The sequence below is a fragment of the Homo sapiens genome, chromosome 1, assembly GCF_000001405.40.
Source record: "Homo sapiens chromosome 1, GRCh38.p14 Primary Assembly".
Classification (NCBI taxonomy): Eukaryota; Metazoa; Chordata; class Mammalia; order Primates; family Hominidae; genus Homo; species Homo sapiens.
The window spans coordinates 189,150,066-189,166,045 of record NC_000001.11 but is presented as its reverse complement, the minus strand read 5'-3'; the positions used below and the strand labels follow the sequence as shown (position 1 = coordinate 189,166,045).

The following is a 15,980-nucleotide window of genomic DNA, read 5'->3' as shown; positions in this document are numbered from 1 at the left end:
AGGGGCAAAGAGAGCATTGCATAATGGTAAAGGGATCAATGCAACAAGAAGAGCTAACTATCCTAAATATGTATGCATCCAATACAGGAGTACTCAGATTCATATAGCAAGTTCTTAGAGACCTACAAAGAGACTTAGACTCCCACACAATAATAGTGGGAGACTTTAACACCTCACTGTCAATATTAGATCAATGAGACAGAAAATTAACAAGGATATCCAGGACTTGAACTCAGCTCTGGACCAAGCGGACCTAATAGACATCTACAGAACTCTCCCACACCAAATCAAGGGATTATACATTCTTCTCAGCACCACCTCACATTTATTCTAAAATTGACGACATAATTGGAAGTAAAACACTCCTCAGCAAATGCAAAAGAACAGAAACCATAAAAAACAGTCTCTCAGACCACAGTACAATCAAATTAGAACTCAGGAATAAGAAACTCACTCAAAACCACACAACTACATGGAAACTGAACAACCTGCTTCTGAATGACTACTGGGTAAACAACGAAAGTAAGGCAGAAATAAAGATGTTCTTTGAAACCAATGAGAACAATGACACAATGTACCAGAATCTCTGGGACACATTTAAAGTAGTGTGTAGAGGGAAATTTATAGCACTAAATACCCACAAGAGAAAGCAGGAAATATCTAAAATAGGCACCCTAACGTCACAATTAAAAGAACTAGAGAAGCAAGAACAAATAAATTCAAAAGCTAGCAGAAAACAAGAAATAACTAAGATCAGAGCAGAACTGAAGGAGATAGAGACACAAAAAACCCTTAAAAAAATCAATGAACGCAGGAGCTGGTTTTCTGCAAAGATCAACTAAATACATAGACCACTAGCCGACTAATAAAGAAGAAAATAGAGAAGAATCAAATAAATGCAATAAAAAATGATAAAGGGGATATCACCACCAATCCCACAGAAATACAAATTACCATCAGAGAATACTATAAACAACTCTATGCAAATAAACTAAAAAATCTAGAAGAAATTGATAAATTCCTGAACACATACACCCTCCCAAGACTAAACCAGGAAGAAGTCAAATCCCTGAATAGACCAATAACAAGTTCTGAAATTAGGCAACAAATAACAGCCTACCAACAAAAAAAAGTCCAGGACCAGATGGATTCACAGCCAAATTCTACCAGAAGTACAAAGAGGAGCTGGTACCAATCCTTCTGAAACGATTTCAAGCAGTAGGAAAAGAGGGACTCCTCCCTAACTCATTTTATGAGGCCAGCATTATCTTGATACCAAAACCTGGCAGAGACACAAGAAATTAAAGAAAAATTCAGGCCAATATCCCTGATGAACATCGATGCAATAACTCTCAATAAAATACTGGCAAACAGAATCCAGCAGCACATCTAAACACGTAGCCACCACGATCAAGTTGGCTTCATCCCTGAGATTCAAGGTTGGTTCAACATACGTAAATCAATAAACGTTATCCATCACATAAACAGAACCAATTACAAAAACCACATGATTAACTCAGTAGATGCAGAAAATTCCTTTCAAAAAATTCAATAGCGCTTCATGATGAAAACTCTCAATAAACTAGGTATTGATGGAACGTATCTCAAAATAATAAGAGCAATTTATGACAAATCCACCACCAATATCATACTGAATGGGCAAAACCTGGAAGCATTCCCTTTGAAAACTGGCACAAGACAAGAATGCCCTCTCCAACCCCTCCTATTCAACATAGTATTGGAAGTTCTGGCCAGGGCAATCAGGCAAGAGAAGGAAATAAAGGGCATTCAATCAGGAAAAGAGGAAGTCAAATTGTCTCTCTTTGCAGATGACATGATTGTATATCTAGAAAACCCCATTGTCTCTGCCCCAAATCTCCTTAAGCTGATGAACAACTTCAGCAAAGTCTCAGGATACAAAATCAATGTGTGAACATCACAAGCATTCCTATACACCAATAACAGACAAACAGAGTCAAATCATGAATGAACTCCCATTCACAATTGCTACAAAGAAAATAAAATACTTAGGAATACAACTTACAAGGAACGTGAAGGACCTCTTCAAGGAGAACCACAAACCGCTGCTCAAGGAAATAAGAGAGGACACAAACAAATGGAAAAACATTCCATGCTTATGGATAGGAAGAATCAACATTGTGAAAATGGCCATACTGCCAAAAGTAATTTATAGATTCAACGCTATCTCCATCATGCTACCATTGACTTTCCTTACAGAATTGGAAAAAAAAAGAAAACACTTTAAATTTCATATGGAACCAAAACAGAGCCTGCATAGCCAAGACAGTCCTAAGCAAAAAGAACAAAGCTGGGGGCATCATGCAACCTGACTTCAAATTATATTACAAGTCTACAGTAACCAAAACAGTATGGTACTAGCAGGAAAACAGATATATAGACCAATGGAACAGAACAGGGGACTCAGAAATAACACCACACATCTACAACAACCTGATCTTTGACAAACCTGACAAAAACAAGAAATAGGGAAATAATTCCCTATTTAATAAATGGTGTTGGGAAAACTGGCTAGCCATACGTGGAAAGCTGAAACTGGATCCCTTCCTTACACCTTATACAAAAATTAACTCAAGATGGATTAAAGACTTAAACGTAAGAACTAAACCCATCAAACCCTAGAAGAAAACCTAGGCAATACCATTCAGGACATAGCATGGGCAAATACCTCATTACTAAAACACCAAAAGCAACTGCAACAAAAGCCAAAATTGACAAATGGGATCTAATTAAACTAAAGAGCTTCTGCACAGCAAAAGAAACTATCATCAGAGTTAACAGGCAACCTACAGAATGGGAGAAAATTTTTGCAATCTATCCATCTGACAAAGAGCTAATATCCAGAATTTACAAAGAACTTGAACAAATTTACAAGAAAAAAACAACCCCATCAAAAAGTGGGCAAAAGATATGAACAGACACTTCTCAAAAGAAGACATTTATGCGGCCAACGGACACATGAAAAAAAGCTCATCATCACTGGTCATTAGAGAAATGCAACTCAAAACCACAATGAGATACCATCTCACGCCAGTTAAAACAGAGATCATTACAAAGTCAGGAATCAACAGATGCTGGAGAGGATGTGGAGAAATAGGAACGCTTTTACACTGTTGGTGGGAGTGTAAATTAGTTCAACCATTGTGGAAGACAGTGTGGTGGTTCCTCAAGGATCTAGAACTAGAAATACCATTTGACCGAGCAATCCCATTACTGTGTATATATCCAAAGGATTATAAATCATTCTACTATAAAGACACATGTACATGTATGTTTATTGCAGTACTTTTCACAGTAGCAAAGACTTGGAACCAACCCAAATGCGCATCAATGATAGACTGAATAAAGAAAATGTGGCACATATATACCATGGAATACTATGCAGCTGTAACACAGGATGACTTCATGTCCTTTGCAGGGACATGGATGAAGCTGGAAACCATCATTCTCAGCAAACTAACACAAGAACAGAAAACCAAACACCGCATGTTATCACTCATAAATGGGAGTTGAACAATAAGAACACATGGACACAGGTAGGGGAACATCACACACTGGGGCCTGTTAGGGTGTGGGGGGCTAGGGGAGGGATAGCATTAGGAGAAATACCTAATGTAGATGACGGATTGATGGGTGCAGCAAACCACCATGGCACATGTATACCTATGTAACAAACCTGCACGTTCTGCACATGTACCCCAGAACTTAAAGTATAATAAAAAAATTAGTAACAATTAAATACACAAAACCTTAATTGCAAACTATAAAAATATCACAACTGAAAACATATTCCTCAATATAATAATATAGAAGTTCTTACTGCTCATGGTCGGTTGCCGTGGCTCACGCCAGAAATACCAGGAATTTGGGAGGCTGAGGCGGGTGGATCACCTGAGGTCAGGAGTTTGAGACCAGCCTGACTGACATGGTGAAACCCTGCTGCTACTAAAAATACAAAAATTAGCCGGGCGTGGTGGCGGACCCGTGTAATCCCAGCTACTCAGGAGGGTGAGGCAGGATAATCACTTGAACCTGGGAGGCAGAGGTTGCAGTGAGCCAAGATTGTGCCATTGCACTCCAGCCTGGGCAACAGAGCAATACTCTGTCTTAATTTAAAAAAAAAAAAAAAAAAAAAAAAAAAAAAAAAGTGCTTACTTCTCATTACAAGTCTCACATGCTGATTTTGAAAACAAAACAGAAAGGACATTTATGCAAGAAAAAAAAAACAGTACAAACCAACTGTAAACTAGATTTTTTACTTCTCTACTTGCAGGATATTGATGAAATGAAACCATGAGTGTATAATACAGTAAAATTTCATTCATATTGAGTAAAAACAAAAAGTAAAATCGCATTTACTGTACAATCACTATCCCTCTTCAATGTTTTATGGGATTGTCACTGTATAATTTACTAAGATATTTTTGCTCTATTAATTAAATGCTTGCTAATTTATAAAACTGTTTCATTAATTTGGTAATGTTTATGCAAAGATATTAATATACAAACTTCAGTATCCTCAGAGGAAAATATAGCTTACCCTCAGTTCATATGAAGTGCAGATAGTCTGCTTGTAATGTGAAAAGGAGAAAGAGCATGAAATATTTTCAGTTAAAAGATTCTATGAAGAATGATACTAAATTTACAGCAGTCTTTTTTTTTTTTTTTTTTTTTTTTTGAGACAAAGTTTTGCTCTTGTCGCCCAGGCTGGAGTGCAATGACGTGATCTCGGCTCACTGCTGCAACCTGTGCCTCCCAGGTTCAAGTGATTCTCCTGCCTCAGCCTACTGAGAAGATTACAGGCGCCTGCCACCACACCCAGCAAATTTTTGTATTTTTAGTAGAGACAGGGTTTCACCATGTTGTCCAGGCTGGTCTCAAACTCCTGACCTCAGGTGATCTACCCACCTTGGCCTCCCAAAGTGCTGGGATTACAGGCATGAGCCACTGCACCCAGCCCCTTTAGTAGGTTTTTACATGAGAATTTACTGTTACAGAGAAGAGGAAAAAGAGATCCTATCTGTGTGAACAGGTATTGGGTTCCATTCTTTTGCTTCAGTGTTCAGGTTTTCTCTGGATTATGGAGAAGAACAATGAAACATAATTCATTATCAAGATTGCCAGGAGCCACTAATACTTCCAAACTGATATTCATGCATTATTATATCTTACATTCCAAAACCTTAAAGAAACAACAAAGAAAATTGCACTTTTACAAAGAATGTTACTTCAGGGTAAGAATATCAATTTATTATTTTTTACATCTGTGTTTTTGAAAGTATATTATGAGATTTTTAAAAGTCTTATAATTTTTGTCAACTTAGTAAATAGAATAAATGCTGGTAAAAATTATTGAAAAAAGTTGATTAAAAGGAAAAATAAGATAACATAAAACTATCATGTATTATTAATGATTGATACATTAAATTTTTGCAAATTAGCTTTAAATATTTGGGATAAAATCAAAATAAACTACTATTTAAAATGAATAATTGAATATGTACCTAACATGCCCAATAAATATTAAACTACAAATATCAGGAGACTTTCATGAAGATAGACATTTCTGTGATTTCCATAAAAGTTGTAAAAAATTTGTATTTGCTCTCTCCCGAGCTTTTCAAGGAAAATATTGAAAGGAAAATAGACATAAATATACATTGTGTTTAAATCTATTGTCAGTAGTTAAAAATATTATTTAGCATGCCTTCTATTTTGATTTCTGAAAAATGTAATCTATAAGTTAGGGCACACATTAATTGTTTAAGAGTTTAGCCTTTTCTAATATTGAATTATGACCACCTGTTTCTTGCCTATATCCATGAAAGTTCATGCCATATCTTTCTTGAAAATGTGTGTAAATTTCTTTATAAATAAGTAATAGCATATTATAGAAAAAACCTATGAACTTTGTTATATTATTCCTATTAATGATATCAAATAATACCATCTGATTAGTAGAGCTAAACATTTCAAAAGTTAAATAATTTTATATACTGTATAGTCAAAATTACAAAATATATTTTACTTTTTACTTGTCATTTACTGAGATCAACATTTTCTCAGTTAATGCTATATAAAATATACGGAATAACTGAGAGAATAATAAATTTCTGAGCTAAGCAGAGGCATCTCCACTCTTTTATTTTTCCCACCTATAGTACATTTTCAGTGACTCCATGTATGATTCCATGCACTGTTGAAGGAGGAGACCAGGGTGATAAAAGATGTGTGGAGAATACTGACAGGCAGATGAAGAGTGAACAACCACATGTGGTGTCCAAACAGGCAATATAAAAACATATGCATCTGTTTATCATAATTGGTTACCAACAGATTGAGGAGAAATATTCGTGCACTTTATTACAAAAATATAGGTACTGCAAATTTCTATTGACTTGGAATTCAGAAGTAACTAATTACAATTACAAATACAATTAATTAATTATAATCACCCACTCACATATCTACTTGGACTTACTTTATCATATATTGGTAAGACAAAATAATTTAAATTATTTTAAATTATTTCTCCATTTTTTTTCTGTAGTGTTTTATAAGAGTATTTACTTATTCTCTCACTTTAAATAACCAGAAATTTGGACACTAAAATACAAAACAAAAATTTTCAGACATTACAAAAATAAGCACACCATTATGATTATTGGGAGAAAGAAATCATTGTTCTGGACATCCAGGGATGGGAAGATAAAGAGAGCCTGGCTGTTTTGTTGAAGTAAAGACAAAGTTTAGGCCACCATGGAGCCTAAAAGGCTAAAGTGTGTGGGGTAGAGTACCATCAAAAAGGAACAGTTCAGAAGAACTATCCAAAAATCTATGCTGGTGTCCACTACAGTCTTTGGCTGATTAATAATCTGTGAATATGTAGCAAGTAATTCTGAAATGTAAGGCATGAATTAACTTCCAGGTAAATAACAATTTCCTAGGAGCTGAAAAATTCTCATAATTCAAAAATGAACAGAAATTGCTGGAGATGTCAAAGCCAAAGTGCATAGACATGGTTGAATACACGGGATATTTAATAAAAATATCAGAAGAGTCACATCATAGTAACAATGCTAAACTAGCCACAAAAGCAATGCTTCTTTGATCTACCCAAAATGAAAAAAAAAGACACCTCTCAAAATGTGAACAGTTATGTTCAAATAACTGCCTAACAATAAAATTGCAACTTTTCTTAAAAGAATTCAAAAAATCTAACATTCAGTAACACAAAATTCCCAATATCAGGCATGAAATGAAAATATTAGAGATGTGAGGAAGGAAAAAAACATGACACACAGCAGGAGAGAACTCAGACAATAGAAATGGAAATAATGGGAATAACTGAAAAGAATGTTAAAAAGTTATTACAAAGTTATTAGAGGGTAAGATAGCAGAATACTCAGTCACCTATTTATATCCTCTAAGAACAACAATTCTGCACTCATCCATGGGGAAAAAAAAAAAGCATTTTTGTGTTTTGGTGAGATCCTTGGGATTCAGGTAGGAGGTCGTAAAACCCTGGTGGAGCCCAAGACCATGGAGGAGAGTCTTTTTGAAAGTGAAAACACATATGCGATTGTGCTTCTAGGTTCAGACATGGAAATGGCCACGTTCCCTGAAGTGTCTGGCTGCCTAACCATTTGGTTGTGTGCCTGTTATCAAAACTATCCACCAAATGGTCTGGGAGGCATCACGTCTGCTAGTGCCTTAGCAGAAAGGCTAGGCGGCCTGCTAACACAAGTCTCAGGAGTGAACTCAAATATCAAATATCAAGCAGGTTTTTTTTTCTTTTTTTTTTTTTTCGAGACAGAGTATCTGTTGCCCAGGCTGGAGTGCACTGGCACAATTTCTGCTCACTGCAAACCCCACCTCCCGGGTTCAAGGGATTCTCCTGCCTCAGCCTCCTAAGTAGCTGGGATTACAGCCATACATCACCATACCTGCTAATTTTTGTATTTTTAGTCGAGATAGATTTTTGCCATATTGACCAGCCTGTTCCTGAACTCCTGGTCTCAAGTGATCTGACCACCTTGGCCTCCCAAAGTGCTGGGATTACAGCCATGAGCCAACACCCCTAGCCTTATTTTTGATTATAATAGAATACGGCTAATAAACAGTAACAGAAGAAATTTGGAAAAGTTTACAAACACGTGGAAGTTGAATGATATGCTTCTGAACAAGCAATAGGTCAAAAAAGAAATTAAGAGGCACAATTTAAAATATCCTGAGATGAATAAAAATAAAAACACAACCTATCAAAACACACATGCACACACATACACCCCAGCTAGTATCCAATATTGAATTGCTATATGCCATAAATCAGTAATATAGTATTCTTTAATTTTTCATTATTATTCCCTTGCTCTTTTCAAACTAAACATTTTTAATAAGCTCATCTTATACCTTGGCCTTTGATGGAATCCATATTTTGAATTAAAATAACAATAATTAAATGAAGATGTGACATTGAGAATTCAGAGACAAAACTTAAAATGTGATTTCCTTTCTAAATTCTCTAACCAACTCTCAACTTTGGTTTTAAATAATTATCCATCTGAATTAGGACAATTTTTTTTCAACTTTTGACTAATAATTTTTAATATCTTTATTAAATACACAGATATATAGTTTCAATATACAGACATATTCCAGATTACAGTCAATGGGGTTTAATGAAATAAATTAAATCTTTCCATAAAAGTATTTCTCTTTTGTGGTATTTGTTTTGTTTGTTTCACTCATGTCTGGAACATAGCATATATAATTTAAGACTTGTGATTTTGAGTTGGGTTCTGAAGTCTAGTAATGGTCTCTTTGTGATATTAAAAAACAAAAAGGCATTTCACTACAAAGGCAAAATTTTGCAGACATTTCTATTCTATTGTCTTCATCTTCTTGCCATATAGTTATGTGTTATTAAGGTAAATCTTAGTTGTTCTCTTAAGAGGGGTTTGCATTTGGTGATCAATTGCTTTAAAATTTGCTGTAATTTGGGACTTTAAATCATTTATGCATAGGACTTACCATAGGCTATCACTAACTATTCATAACATATATCGCCAGCTTAAATCTCTGTCCTGAGCTTCACCTAAATATGTGGTACTAGATGTTCTAGAGGTTCCCCAAATACAGTATGCTAAGTAGAAAATTATGTCTATCCCATTCCACTAACTTTCTCTTCTTCCTTTGATCCTCACCTTAGTCATTGAAACAAATATATACTGAGTTTTCAGAATTGAAAATCAGAACATGATACTTGATTCTGATCACCATATTCTTTACTTCAATCATATTACCACATACATAGAGCTTTATGTTATCAATATCATTCAAGTCCATTACAATTCTTTCTTTTTGTTTTAGATGGAGTCTCACACTGTCGCCCCAGGCTGGAGTTCAGTGGTGCAATCTCAGCTCACTGCAACCTCTGCCTCCTGGGTTCAAGGGATTCTTCTGCCTCAGCCTCCCAAGTAGATGGGATTACAGGCACCCGCCACCATGCCCAGCTAATTTTTTGTATTTTTAGTAGAGATGGGGTTTCACTATGTTGGCCAGGCTGGTCTCAAACTCTTGACTTTGTGATCCGCTGCCTCAGCCTCCCAAAGTGCTGGGATTACAGGCATGAGCCACCGCGCCTGGCCTCCATTACATTTCTTGACATCCTTTATTCCTACCTTGATTAAGTTTGGCATTCTCTTTCATTAAAATTATTACAACAGCCTATTAATTACTCTCTGCTTCCAGTTTTATCTCTCACAAAAGTATTCTCTACCTTGCATCAGAGTAATTTTTTAATTCAAATTTGATTATGCTACTCTTATTTTTAAACTTCTTCAAAAGTTCCCTGTTGCTCATAGGAAAATGGCCATACTGCTTAGCACAATATAAAGCCCTTCACTACCTGTTTCTCAATCTTCTACATTTGCTTTCTCTACCCTAAAAATATGATGATCCCTCTTCCTCGACTTTCAACTCTCGCTTTCCACGATCTGTACTCCAATCACACACAATTTCTTGGAATTCTAAAGATTAGTCATATTTTATCTTGCTTCCAATACTGTATGCATGCTATTCCGTTTTCTTCAAAACCATATTTCTGAATGACTACTCTAATATCTACCTCGTATTAAGAATTTGGTCAATGTTTCTATGTGTTCCTAAATATAGGTTGTTTTCCAGCCTATGTATGTCAATAGCATCCCATCTATTGTTGTATTCTTTACTCTGATTTATATTTGCCTAGCTATTTGTCTATCTACCACTCTACATGTTAATTTACTTAAAAACAAAGACAGACAATGTGTTACTTATGTATTTCTATATCTAGCTCCTACTTTCATTGATAAACAGATACCAGAAAGAAAACAAGCAAACCACTGCTATCAATTTTCTTAACACCTGGAAGAACATTCTTATCTTTTAGCATCTTATTCCATAATGAATAATTGTATGCAATTGAACTGCATAATAAATGCTGTTCAATTTAACCATAACATACAGTTACAACTATGTAATGGAAATACATGCTCTAAGCTCGAGGAAAAAATGTATACTAAAATTGAAACATATGACAAACCAGTATCAACAACAAAAACTCAGATATACTATTTTCTTTTATGGTGAGTATATTCTTCTGAACTATAATGTCTGCTATTACTTGTCAGTTCAGAAGAGATCTCTTGACAGCAGAAAAAAGCTGCAAAAAAAGTTGGAGAAATATGTACACTGTAGCTGTTTACATTGGCATGGAATATCCATCATTTTGAGTATCTAGTGTACTGAGCAGATGTTTACACATAAAATAGTACTGAGTACCAACAGAAATTGGATAAAAGAGGCTTCAACCCTTTTATTGTGTGTAATAGAGGGCAAGTGTCTTGACCACTCCGAGCTGCAGTTTACTCATCTCAAAATTAAGAATGACATACAACCCATCCCACATGGTTTTAATGAGAATTCAATTAAGTACAAATAGAAAATAATATGTGTAATATTTAGCAATTGTATTTACTCAAAAATATTTGTTTCTTGAGTTTTAATGTTAAGGATGATAAATTTATTTATTTCCTTTTGACTCCACACCTAACAATTTACCTTTTAACTTTTATTGAACAATCATAAAATTTTACACTTGGTGTGATTTTTTTCTCAATATTTTGAAATAACTTATGATAATGTGCATTAACCAAATATAAGTTTGAAAAAAGGAATGTGGGCACAATATGAGCATCTTTGCATTAGCTCATATTATAGAACATCATGTAGTACATCATAAATATATGAAATGTATATTTGTCAATTTCAATTAATTCAAATTTGAAAATGCTGACTTTAACACATTGGTGGTACTAAAAGTATCCAGCTCGTTTATTTGACATGAATTTTCTTACTATTGAAAGTGGATTTTTACTATTTTCTAGGAAATAATTTTAAATTAAATATTGTTTCTGCTATACTAGAACTAATAATGATTTGCTACAGATAGTGACATATAATATGGTTATTAAGAAATAGCTGAATGGAATAGATAATAAAACAAGAAAAACAATAACCTTTTAAAATGATTAATCCTGCTGAACTTAAACAATATATAAAATGGTCACTGAGGACAATATATGCTTGCCATGTAAGTCATATCATCACTTTCCACCACTTTCATCAAATTAAAAATCACTTCAATACTGTATCTGTCAGTGTTCAGTAATGTCATATTGCTACTTATATCTGGAAGTCATGAGAAATAAAAAAAGATAACTCTTGCCAATGTTAATAGCAACTGATGAATGAGCATTTTTCTCAATTTCTCAGTCTTCCTGCTGTTAAGATATCTAATTTGAACTGATATGAAATATCAGGCTCACAGTTTAGAGGAAAACATTCTGCCAGTTATGGTCAGGGAACTGCATATTTCTAGCTTATCTTCTTCATTGTAAACTCTCTAACACCTAGAACTCTACCTACCCATAGTGGACACTCAAAAATAATTTGCTGAATGAATAGTAAATGTGGACAAACTAAACAAACATGATCAGGTAAAAAATTATTATTTGATAATATGAAAAAAGCAGAAAAAAAGAAAATTTCTTTTTTTAGAGTTTTCAAAAATAGGTAAATGTTTATTGCAAAAATTGTGGACTGTATTTTTCAATGTTATTTTTGCCTAGTAGAAAACAAGGTTATCTTTAAGTTATTAATGTAAATTACACAAACATTTATATCTGAAATATAGATTTGCTATGATTTTAATATACACTCAATTGTCTCCAGAGTTGTGATATTGTCTTTGCCACGGATATAATAACCATAGTGGGAACTCTACCTTATAGTTAGAGGTTAGAAATTGATAAATTATTTAAAGAAATCAATACTCTAGCAACTACTAAGCAGAAAGATAAAATCTGGAGACATCACATTGTCTGACTTGAAACCATACTGCATGGCTATAGTAACTAAAATAGCATACGACTAGTACAAAATAGACACATAGATAAATAGAACAGAATAGAGAACCCAAAAATAAAGCCACATACCCATAACCAACTGATCTGCGATAAAGTCAACAAAAACAAACAATGGGAAAAGGGCAACCTATTCAAAAAATGATGCTAGGAAAACTGGCTAGGCATATGCAGAAAAATGAAAAGTGGACCCCTATATCACACCATACACAAAATTAAGATGAATTAAATACTTAAATGTAAGATCTGAAACGACAGAAATCCTAAAAAAAAGAAACTCTTTTGGACACTGGCCTAGGCAAAGAATTTATGATGACGACCCAGATTAAATGCAACAGAAACAAAAATAGACAAATGGGATTTAATCAAGCTAAAAGTCTTCTACACAACAAAATAAACTATCAACAGACTAAAAAGACAAAATTACAGGATGGAAGAAAATATTCGCAAATTATGCCTCTAACGAGGGACTAATATCCAGTATCTACAAGTTACTTGAACAACTCAATAACAACAACAATAAAAAGCCCACTAAAAACTGAGCAAAAGACATGTGCAGACATTTCTCAAAAGAAGACATACAAGTGGCCAACAAACATATGAAAAAGTGCTTAACATCACTAGTCATCAGATAAATGCAAATTAAAACCACAGTGAGATACTATCTCACACCAGTCAGATTGGTTATTATTGAAACATCAAAAAATAACAGATGTTGGAAAGGATTCAGAGAAAAGGGAACATTTAGACACTGTTGGTAAAGATATAAATTATTTCAGCCTCTGCAAAAAACAATATGGACATATCTCAAATGACTAAAAATAGAACTCCTGTTTGACCCCAAAATCCCACTACTGGATATCTACCCAAAGGAAAAGAAATCTTTATATTAAAAAAGACATTTGCACATCATATATTTATTGCAATACTATTCACAATGTCAGAGTCATGGATTCAACCTAAGTGTCCACCAGTAATGGACTGGATAAAGAAAATGCGGTATATATACACAATAGAATATTATCCAGCAATAAAGAAGAATGAAATAATGTCCTTTACAGCAACATGAATGAAGCTTTTTAGGTTGTTATTGTAAGAGAACTAATTCAGAAATCAAAAAATCAAATATCTCATGTTCTCACTTATAAGTGGGAGCTAAACAATGAGTACACATAGATATAAAGATGGAGACAATACACTCTGGGGACTCCAAAAGGAGGGAGGTAGGAGGAGGATCCAGAGTTGAAAATGTACCTATAGTGTTGAATATTTAGGTGATGGAGATACTAGAAGCCCAACCCCCTCCATTATGCATGTAATTCCCATATAACAAACAAGCACATGTAACCCCTGAGTCTAAAATAATATTAACAAAATAAATAAATAAAACTAATGGCAGAAATACTTAACATTGTATAGAGAGGGTTATGGTTTTAAAATTTAAGACCAAATCAAAATGGATTTTCAATCAGTTTCTTTTGGACAACGTTTAGATATTCCTCTTTTTTTAATTGACACATCTCACCTTTCTAAAGTTAAAAGACTAAAAAGTGCTACAATTTGATAATTTTGTAAATTGTGATACACTGTAAAGCAAAATGCTAAGAAATATAACATCTTGTCCCAAACTTATTTTTGTTCAAGTGCATCAGCCATAAAATTGAATTCCTGATGTTCTCTCAGTTATTTTAAAAGTAACAGGTAGGCCACTAAACATTCAAAAATGGTATTGTATTTGACATGTAAATAAAGATTTATTCATTGTTAGTACTATACTAAAAAGCAATTTGATATTCTTGCCTAAGTAGAAAAATATATCGAAATCTAACAGGCCTGGCTCACTACTGAGGAGTCTGGCTCTTGGTGAAAAACCTGCATAATTTTTCAGTCCCAGCCACAGGCAATTGCAGAGGCTTTACCTGACAGTCCTCAAGGAAGGTAGTCACCCTCTCTGGAACAGACTTGGTGCACAGTCAGCACATTGCAGTCTCTAAATTAGAGAGTTGCAGTCAAGGACTCAGGCAAACTGGCAGATCACACCCTTTCCATATTTAAACTTCTATCTCCAGCACCTCCATTTCTCTTTCTCTTTTTTTTTTTAAACCACCACTCGGTTTTTATATTTTCAATTAAACAAAATATAAAAAGAATCATGTAGCCATAACCCAGATTTAGCCATTGTTAATATTTTTGCCACAGTTTATATTTTTTTCTGAAGTATTTTAAAGTAAATTACTTAATAATACTTTATCTCTAAACATTTCATATGTTGGAAATAAGGACATTTTCTCAAATAACTGCACTATTAGTATCACATCTAACAAAATTGACATAACTTGCTGATATTATCTGATACTCAGTACCAGAAATGTTTTCTACAGCTATTCAAAATGGGATCCACTAAAGAATCACTCACTGCATTGGCTGTTATGTCTCTCAAAATAGAAAGAACACACAGTGTCTTTTTTCCCCCCAGACATTATCTTGTTGAAAAGACTTGTCCTGTAGAATATTCGACTTTCTGAGTTTGTCTAATGATTTTTTCATGGTGTCATTTAAATTTTCCTTTATCCCCTGTTTTTTCTATCAAGTGAATCTTAGCCTATGAAATATCCCAGCACCTTCATTTCTAGAGTCTCTTCGAGGCCTGGCAAGAGTCTCTTCAGATGTCTCTGCTGAGGCCTCCATATGGGTGAAGGAGGGAGAAAACAAAGACGATTTTCCCCGCTCTGATTCAGCACCCAGCAGTTTCCACCCCTAGGCCCCACTCTGTCACATACCTCTCTTCAGAGTCTCTCCTCATGGTCCAATGGTTATTTCAATCCACAATCCACAGGTAAAAATGGAACAGAAGGAATCGGCGTTTCTTTTGGACAATTACTTACACCATCACGATAAGCACTTAAAAGATTCTCTTTCATTTTTGGCTTGTGGCTTTACTTGCTACTCTGATACCTGGTACATCAAGTTTCTTCCAGCTGAGCTGAGTTTCTGACACCTACCAAAACAAAAATAAATTCAGAGGTATACACCTTTTCATAGTTTGTATTGAAATACTATTGCTTCTATTAATAACAATATGTAAAGTAAATAATGTATATTACTTCATTAATATGTATAGGAAAATCTTCATTGTAGATACAATAGACTTTGTAAAATTCAATGACATTTTTGAAACAAATGGGATGTTAAAACAACATACTGAAATGAGAAAGGTTTCCTTGTCCCCCTAGCAGGACGTCCAATGGAGGTGTGACTCACTCCTTCAGTGCCCTGCTCCTCAAACCTCTAGGGGAGCATACAGGCAGGCAGGCTGTGGGGCTCCAACCCCACGGCAGTGTCTAGGGGTGAATGTTTACAGCTCCTGAAGCCCCAGTGGGTGTATGTTACAGGGTGCTCTCTTAGTTTGCCATCTATAGGCGGCCTGTATTAACCAGCTCAATTAAACCCCCTTCCTTATTACAAGGACAGACG

At 34.6% G+C, this 15,980-nt stretch overlaps 1 long non-coding RNA gene across 2 annotated transcripts in view; it reads right to left on the bottom strand.

Moving 5' to 3' along the window:
- Window positions 1-15,980, bottom strand: part of LOC105371657 (uncharacterized) — a 453,818-nt gene that overhangs the window by 437,535 nt on the left and 303 nt on the right. For both annotated transcript variants that reach the window (XR_002958413.2, XR_001738343.2), the window contains exon 2: window positions 15,287-15,504. This is a non-coding gene — a long non-coding RNA (uncharacterized LOC105371657). The remainder of the gene's footprint in view (window positions 1-15,286; window positions 15,505-15,980) is intronic.